Source organism: Homo sapiens, chromosome 6 (assembly GCF_000001405.40).
Source record: "Homo sapiens chromosome 6, GRCh38.p14 Primary Assembly".
Lineage (NCBI taxonomy): Eukaryota > Metazoa > Chordata > Mammalia > Primates > Hominidae > Homo > Homo sapiens.
This window is the reverse complement of record NC_000006.12, coordinates 168084996-168093603: the sequence shown is the minus strand read 5'-3', so window position 1 is coordinate 168093603 and position 8608 is coordinate 168084996. Positions and strand designations below refer to the sequence as shown.

Here is an 8608-nt window from a genome sequence, read left to right as displayed (position 1 = left end):
CATAGTCTGCCTACGCAAAAATCTGAGAACCTCATCAGAGGTTCCTTACAAAGACTGAGTTTGCCTTGATTTAAATTCCTAGGATGCTGCCCGGCAAGTGGGAGCCCCGGGCTCGGTCCAGGAAGCCTGAGTCTCCTGTGAAAGTTCAGCAAATGTCTACACTGCAGGCTGCTTGTCAGGTCTGGGGCGACATTTCCACAGGGCTGGCATGGCCGAGTGTGAGGTGGGGCCGGTCAGCTCACAGCCGTCGGTGGTACTTGCTGACAGGCCAGGCTGTGGATGTTTGATGAATGATGACCGTGACCTTGAGTTCTGAGAGCTCTGGATCCCAGGACCTGTTTTCAGTGATATGAAAACTGATATGGCTGAGCTGTGTCCCCACCCAAGGTTATTACCTTGAACTGTAATCATCCCCATGTGTGGTGGGAGGGACCCGGTGGGAGGTCACTGAATCACGGGGGCGGGTTTTCCCGTGCTATTCTCATGATAGTGAATAAGCCTCACAAGATCTGATGGTTTTATAAAGGGGAGTTCCCCTGCACACGCCCTCTTGCCTGCCGCCATAGAAGACATCTCTTTGCTCCTCCTTCACCTTTCACCACGATTGTGAGGCTTCCCCAGCCATGTGGAACTGTGAGTCCTCTAAACCTCTTTCCTTTATAAAGTACCCATTCCCGGGCATGTCTTTATGAGCAGTGTGAGAACTGACTGATACACCGACGTTGTGTGCCTGTCCAGGGTCAAGGCTGCCTCTGTCCTCTCGTCTTTGGCCAGGCCTGCTCACGGGGTGGCTGCCGCAGAGGTCACCCTGGTGGTGACTGGATTGGGACAGTGTCTTAGTCCTTTCAGGATGCTGTAGCAAAATCCCACAGACCAGGAGCTTAAACAACAGACAATCAGCCCTGGCAGTCTGGAGGCTTGAAGCCTGAGATCAAGGCACTGGGCAATTTGGTGTGTGGTGAGGGCCGCTTCCTTGCAGACGGCACCTTCTTGCAGTGTCCTCACATGATGAAGGGGTGGAGGGTCTCTCTGGGTCTCTCTGATAAAGGGCACTAATCCCATTCCTGAGGCCCCACCCCCATGACTGTATCACCTCCCAAACCTCACATGATGGAGGGGCGGAGGGTCTCTCTTATACAGGGCACTAATCCCATTCCTGAGGCCCCACCCCCATGACCACATCACCTCCCAAAGGCCCCGCCTCCTAACACCATCCCCCTCGCGTGAGAATTTCCACGTGGTGAATTTGGGGGACACAGACCTTCAGTCCAGAGCAGCCCAGTGTGCATTTGTTTAATGAGTCTTTATCGAGAACATTTTGCAAAGTCCTGGAGATGCACAAGGACTGTGGGGTGGAGGAGCTGCTGTGACACTGAGCAGGACACATGATAGATGAATAAGGAAGACCATCCTGGTCCCATCAAGCCTCAGAGCAGACGGGGCACTGTGGCACACAGGTGCATCCTTGGCGAGGCCCCTGGCTGAGTGGTTGGCAGCGCTCTGTCCACAGAGATGACATTTGAGCCAACAGATGAGCCAGCAGCAGCCCAGCAGAGGGCCAGGAAGTGCAGCGCTGTGGAGGCCGGACAGAGCCTGGCTCATTCAAGGACCTCACGGGGAGGCCGACTGGCCTGTGCTGGACACCTGAACGTGGGGCTACTGGTCACTGGCCACTGGCCACTCTTGACCATTTCTTCCTAGTGACACCTGATCCGGAGTGAGTGGAATGAAGGCATGGCTGGGCCCGTTGTAGTGAGTCTATTAGTCTGGGACCTGGGGTTGCAGAACAGAGGCCGTTTTGTTTCTGGGTGACTGCGTTTCGCTTCCGCGGAGTAGCATCCCAGCCTGTCTGTCTGAGGAGCTATGATTCGGTTCCAGCCCGTGGGCCTCTACTGGGCCCATGTGTCACTCGGAGGCCGTGTTCTCAGGGTCCCTGGGCCGGCAGCACCAGCACTTGCTAGATACACAGATGCTGGGGCCCCGCCAAATGCAGTTGCCAGCCTCTCCCAGGGTTTCTGCATCAAGATCCGCCCACCGGCTCCAGAGACACTGCTCTGTAGGGCGAGGACGCCCAGTGGAGATCCAACCTGAGCCATCCTGCTGACACCTGACCGAGGCCACGGAGTCCCCAGGAGCCTGACCCTGAGACAAGAGGAGGGGCGAGGACTTGAGGAGGACTCTGCTGGGGGCCTGGGGAGACAGAGATGGCTCTGGGCAGTGACACAGGTGGAAAGGACATTCCAGGCAGAAAAACCAGCTGGAGCAGTTTTGGGGCACAGAGAGCAGAGTCCGTGGAAGAGGATTCAGAGAAGGGGCATCTCCACCTGCAGCCTGGCCCTGTGTCGGGAAGGCGCACACTGCAGGGTCTCCAGCCCCGGGGCTCCTTGGCCTTTTATTATCGGCTGGCAGTAACCATTTTAGTTACCAGGAAGTTGGGTGGAACCAGGAAGAAGGTGTGGGCTATCTTTTGTCTTTTTGCACTAAGCTCTGAAAAGTTTGCAGTTCACATTCATGATCATTTTCGCGGTTCACATTCATAACCCCCCATAGTTTACAGGCACCTTCTCCCCACGGAGCCCAGGGCAGAGAGCGGAGCCGGGAGTCCGCTTGGGTGGCCAGTGAGGGCTTCCTGCCGACCTGAGGTCTCCAGCAAATGGCCTGGATCGGTGGGCAAGCCTCGAATGGAAACCAGGAGACCTGGATTTTGGAGCTGGCTTCGTGAGCCCCGATTGGCAGATCAGTAAAATGGACAGAGTAGCCCCCAAGAGGGCGGCTGAGAATCACATGGAAGCACCGTGCATGGTGGACGTGTGCCCTGGGTGTCATCTGTTTCCTCCAAACTTCAGCGCAGCACACATTGCTAAGCACGCGCCATGGCCAAGAACTGCTCTCAGCAGTGGGGAGATGGAAGGGAACAAAACAGCAGCAAGTAAGACCTTGCAGAACTTTCCTTCCAGGGAGAAACAGACAACAAACAGGCAAACAGGCAGGGGTCAAGTTACTCTAAACGCCGTATGCAGCCATGAACATGCAGGCTTGCGACAGGCCTCCCCATGAATGCAGCATCAGAGCCGGCAGTGAGAACAGGGAGAAGATGGGCTGGGCAGCCACGCTGGGAAAGAGCTCCTCAGACAGCATGTGCAAAGGCCCAGGGGCAGGGAGGCAAGGGGCTAGGGTGGCTACAGCCCAGGGACCCCTTAGTGGGAGCAGACGGTGAGGCCAGAGAGCGAACAAGTCCAGCCCACAAGGGACTTGAGATTGTGGTGGTTCTCAGGCCTCTAGCTGCTCAGGAGGGAGGTGGGAGCCGTCTGTGGGCTTTGAGCAGGAGTTCTCTGCTGTGATTTCTGTTCAGCATGATCACGGGGCTGAGAGCGTGGGGGGCAGAGGGACAAGAATGGCAGAGGAGACTCTAGAGCCCATTGCCAACATTCAGGAGGGAGACGAGCCAACCAGGGGTGGGTCCCAGTGGTGGACGTGGAGGTGGGAACGGGGTCAGATGGAGGCTGGGTGGGTTCTGGGGGTAACGCCGCCGGGATTGGCTCACTGTCTGGACGCGGGGTGGAGAGCCAAGCTGAGACTGAGAGACTGAGTCCCGCATCCTACAGCCTGAGCAGGTGGAGGATGGGCTGCGAGTGCTGAGCAGCTGCTTTTCCTGCCGGCGAGGAGGGCAGCACGTCCCTTAAATAAACGGATGACAGGGCACCACCAGCGCCAGCGGGATTCGTGCCCCTCCATGGGAGCGTCTGTTCTCACTGCGGGGCTCACGTGCTTTCCCTCACCTGCCCCGGCTTCCCGCTGATTTTAGGAGCAGAGTTCCATTTTCTAGTGAAACCTGAGCAGTGTCTCTGTGTAAAACAGAGTTGCTGTGCCCGTCCGCCTTCGATTTTCCGCTCCCCGCTGGGCGGCCCTCAGGAACTTCCCAGGGACCTGAGGACAGACGGGGCCTGCCCCAGTGCTGCTGGAAGGGGTGCACCCTCATAGAGAATTCAGAAGCAGCAGTGAAGCTGCTGATGGTCGATTATCTGTGCACAGTGACGGTAAACAGTGTGCGTGATAAACACAGCTGCCTGGAGGCGGCCATTCCTGCCTCGGTCCTCCTCCACCTGTGTCCTGGAGGTCAGCTCCCCATGGGAGAGGACAGCCGACCAGACCCCAGGCGCCTTCTCAAGGCTGGTCCCTGAACGAAGGAGGAAGCGGCCACAGCCTCCTGAGAGTCCCTCCAGGGCCACGGGCCTTAGAGGAGGAGCTGGTGTTGCTCCACAAAAACGTTCTCTAAAAACCACTGTGAGGCTGACAGTGACTGTGCCCCAGGGGCTGTGACACACCCTGGGTCCCTTCACCCACTGGCAGCAGAAGGATCTCCCTATACAGCTGAGGGAGCAAAGGCAACAGAAATCCAGGGACCCCCAGGGAACCACTGGCGGAGGCTGATTGGGTTTGAACCTGTGCCCGGTGTCAGGGCCCACTCTCACCACCCAGTGCAGCCCCCCAGGCAGGCTGCTGGCCCCTGTGTATGGCCCTGGTGTGGGGCCAGCCCTGGGATGAAGTTATTTTATTTCCCAAATTGTACCCTTCCCCTAAGCCACAGCTCCCATTCCCCAGGAGCCAAACTGGCGGGGAGGACTTGGGCTCTCAGCAGGGCACGTGTGATCAGTGTCTGAGAGCAGGCCCAAGGAGTGGGGAGGTTGACAGGCAGGCCGGTGGGTCACACGGACACAAGGAGTGGGGAGGTTGACAGGCAGGCCGGTGGGTCACACGGACACCTGGTTAGTAGCGCATGTGTTTATGAGAGTTAACATTTGCCTTGCAGTGGAAGGCTTGTGCTAGCTGGTGCTGTGTGCAGGGGACAGCAGTAAGAGGGTAGCCTGGGGGTTCTGTCTACAAAGCCCTCCTGCCTGGGACAGGAGTGACAGGGTAGCCTGGGGGTTCTCTCTACACAGCCCTCCCACCTGCCTGGCTGCAGCTGACCCTGCCTGAGCCTCTGGCCCTCTGGTCCTGATGGGTTCACAGCTCCTGTCTTCCTTCCAGGAGGTTAGAGCACTTTTTAGTGCTGAGTTAACAGCGGCAGCAGCTGAGGTCCCACAAGGCGAGTGTTTATGCCTGAGAAGATCAGATGCCGGGGGAGGCAGCAGGGAGAATTCCAAGCATCTGCCCTCTGGGTGGAGGGGAAAAGTCCAGAGCTGAGGCAGCAGTAGCAGCTGAGAGGCCTTTGTGCTCGCCTTGCCTCCCGGCCACTCCCCCGCCCGCAGTTTCTTTCCAAGAATAAAATCCAATGACTCTGGAGAGCAGGCACTGAACCCGAGCACCCAGGGGCCTCTGCCTCCCAGCAGGGGCAGGTGACGGCGGGAGGGTGGTGGCTGCAGTCTTCGGGCTCACATAGTCCCCACCCTGAGACCCCAGCCGGAGCATCCCAGAGGCAGCATGGGCCCTGACGTCCCCCACCAGCTTCTCTCAGCCCCGGCTTTCTTATCTCTAAGATGGGAACGAAGAGCGCCCTAACCCCCAGCTTGTTGTGGGGTGAGGGCCTGCGGGGGAGACTCGGAACCAGAGGGAGAGAGCCTTTTCGGGGCAGGGTCCCAGGGGCTGAGAGGCCCTGCTGGGAGCACACACAGAGCCCCGCCCTCACTGACACTCTGTGTCTGACCTGCTGGCTCATGCCGCCCCTCCCAGGTCCTGAGGTTCTCAATCTGTGATCTGGGGCCAGGGTTGGAAGCACCATGAGAGGGGTGGAAGTGTGAGGGTCCGGGGGTCTCCGTGCCCAGACGGGTGGTGAGGTCAGCGTCCTTGGGGACCCTGGGAACAGCGGTAGAAGGGGATGGACCTAGGAATGGGTCCTGCTTCAGCCCCTCTTTAAGGGACGTGACCCAGGAGCCCAATCTCCCCAGAGAGTAGCCTGAGAGCCTGGGAGTGGGATGTCCTCACATCTCACATGCTCCACACGCCAGCCCGTGCATCTCACATGCCAGCGCACGCATTGCACACGCCAGTCCACGCAGGTCAGAGCTCTGAGTGGTGGGAGGAGGGCCACTGCACCCTCACCTGGACAGCAGCCTGCGTTCTCCCCACAGAGCCGTCTCACGATGTGCGGCTGACAGGGCCCTTTAACCTCTCTGTGCACCTGGGTTGACTGACATTGTTATCGGAGTGGGAGACTCTGCTGACCAACATGTACCCCACTCTGTAGGAGGAATCATTTGCACTGTCTGCAAAATTTCTCACATAAAAAGGTGAAATAAGTTCGGGCACAGTGGCTCATGCCTGTAATCCCAGCACTTTGGGAGGCGAGGTTGGCAGATCATTTGAGGTCAGGAGGTAGAGACCGGTCTGGGCAACATGGAGAAACCCTGTGTCTACCAAAAAATACAAAACATTAGCTGGGCATGGTGGCTCCCGCCTGTGGTCCCAGCTGCTCAGGGGTCTGGGATGGGAGAATCGCTTGAGCCAGGAGGCAGGGGTTACAGTGAGCCAAGCCCACACCACTGCATTCCAGCCTGGGCAACAGAGCAAGACACCACATGAAGAAAAAAAAAAAAGTGAAACAAGACTGAAATCAGTGGTTGAAAACCAGGCCCAAGGGAGTGTGAGCGGGGAGAGGTGAGTGGCTGGTGAGCGCAGGGCTGAGGTGACCACAGAATCGGGGACTGCTCTCTGAGGCGGCTGGGTCACTCCATCAGGCCTCAAGGAGGAGGGTGGCTCACTCCAGGCAAAGAGCAAAGGTCCTGGCTAACAGGTGCCCAAGGGCACAAACCAGAGCAGAACGGGGTCACATGGGCTTCACCCCGGCCCCCACAGTTTCCATGGAACATCGTGCCATCCAGTGTGGGGAGACAGGGAGAAGCCCAGCTTGTTCCACAAGGACAGCAGTATGGGGATGCCGAGGGGGGTGACAGACGACGGCCCAAGGGATGCATGATCAGGCACAGCCAGTGGCCCATGTCCACAGTGGGAACATGGGCGGCATCCATGCTGGGGACATGGGTGTCCACACTGAAGATGTGGGTATCCATGCTGGAACATGGGCAGTGTCCACACTGGGCACGTGGGTGTCCACACTGAAGATGTGGGTGTCCATGCTGGAACATGGGCAGTGTCCACGCTGTGGATGTGGGTGTCCACACTGAAAATGTGGGTGTCCATGCTGGAACGTGGGCAGTGTCCATGTTGGGACATGGGCATCCATGCTAGGGGTGTAGGTGTCCACACTGAAGATGTGGGCATCATGCTGGAACATGGGCAGTGTCCACACTGGGCACATGGGTGTCCACACGGGTGTCCACACTGAAGATGTGGGTGTCCATGCTGGAACGTGGGCAGTGTCCATGCTGGGGACGCGGGTGTCCATGCTGGGGACGCGGGTGTCCACACTGAAGATGTGGGTGTCCATGCTGGAACATGGGCAGTGTCCACACTGGGAATGTGGGCATCCATGCTGGGACATTGGTGGTATCCATGCTGGGGTATAGGTGTCCACGCTGGGGACATGGCTGGCGTCCCTGCTGGGGATGGGGTGGCTCCAGGGCCGGAAGGCAGGCAGCATCCCACGGAGCCCTCATGACAGGGAGGTACGGGGCCACTCTGTTTAATGTGTGTGAATTCTATGTTCTACTCTTTGCACTTTTTCGCCAAACTTTGAATTTTGAAGTGATTCACCATTAGCACCCAGCACAACATTCCAGAAGTTCTGCCCTAGTCCTGCAGCTCTGCGGTGTGCCGAGGGACCACACGGGCTTTGGATGCTGTGGCTGGGCGATAGGGAGCCATGGAAGGCTTTGGATGCTATGGCTGGGCGATAGGGAGCCATGGAAGGCTTTGGATGCTGTGGCTGGGCGATAGGGAGCCATGGAAGGCTTTGGATGCTATGGCTGGGCGATAGGGAGCCATGGAAGGCTTTGGAGCAGGGACACCTGGGAGGCAGTTGCAGATCCCCCTGCAGTTCTCACGGTGGCCATGCTGGTGGCCACGCCCTTCCGTCCAGGCCTCCTTGGTCCCTTTGTTCTCACAGAGGTTGTGGCTTCATTGAAAGTGACCGACCTCCTCTGCACACCCCCTGGAGCCCAGTGGCCCGTCCTGGGGAGCCATGGTGGGGCGTGTGGCTGTGGGTGGCCATTCATAGAAATGGCAAGAGGGGCACATTCCCAGGGGCTGGAGTGCCCAGAGGCCCCCCACAGCTGTCCCAAGCCTTTGAGAGGGCTCCTCCGATGTCCCCGCCACAAGGTCTCCCTCCCTCCAGGCGGCCTCACTGTGGCCATGTGGAGGGAGGCTGGAGTGTTGGCCATCCTGAGCCAGGCGGCTGCCACTTTCTGGAAGGCCTGGTGGAGTCAGTTCCTGCAGCTTCCACACTGTGCATCAGGTGAGAATGGCCTGGCTCCCCACAGGCCCTCAGGTTGGGGCCTTTCTAGTTCTCTAGGATCCAGGTCACCCCTGCATCCTGGTCTGCAGTTAATGACTGCCTGGCTCAGGGACTCTATTCGGGGCCAACCGACTGCTCCAAATATTCCTTATAACCAGAAGCTGGGGACTGTGGAGCTCAGTGGTGGTGGAGGGACCTGCCAGCCCTTTGTGGGAATGTGTCTGCTTGGCACAGACCAGGAACACGGGAGGGAGTGAC

General features: G+C 58.4%; 1 protein-coding gene across 2 annotated transcripts in view; it reads left to right on the top strand.

Annotated features, from left to right (window-relative positions):
- The first annotated feature begins 547 nt into the window (after window positions 1–547).
- The window catches only part of FRMD1 (FERM domain containing 1), a 39962-nt gene continuing 31901 nt past the window's right edge, over window positions 548–8608 (top strand). For both annotated transcript variants that reach the window (XM_011536143.2, XM_011536138.2), the window contains exon 1: window positions 548–633. Coding sequence is in view for 1 of the 2 variants with exons in the window: in XM_011536138.2 (XP_011534440.1) it covers window positions 624–633 (10 nt within the window). In the remaining variant the exon portion in view is untranslated. The remainder of the gene's footprint in view (window positions 634–8608) is intronic.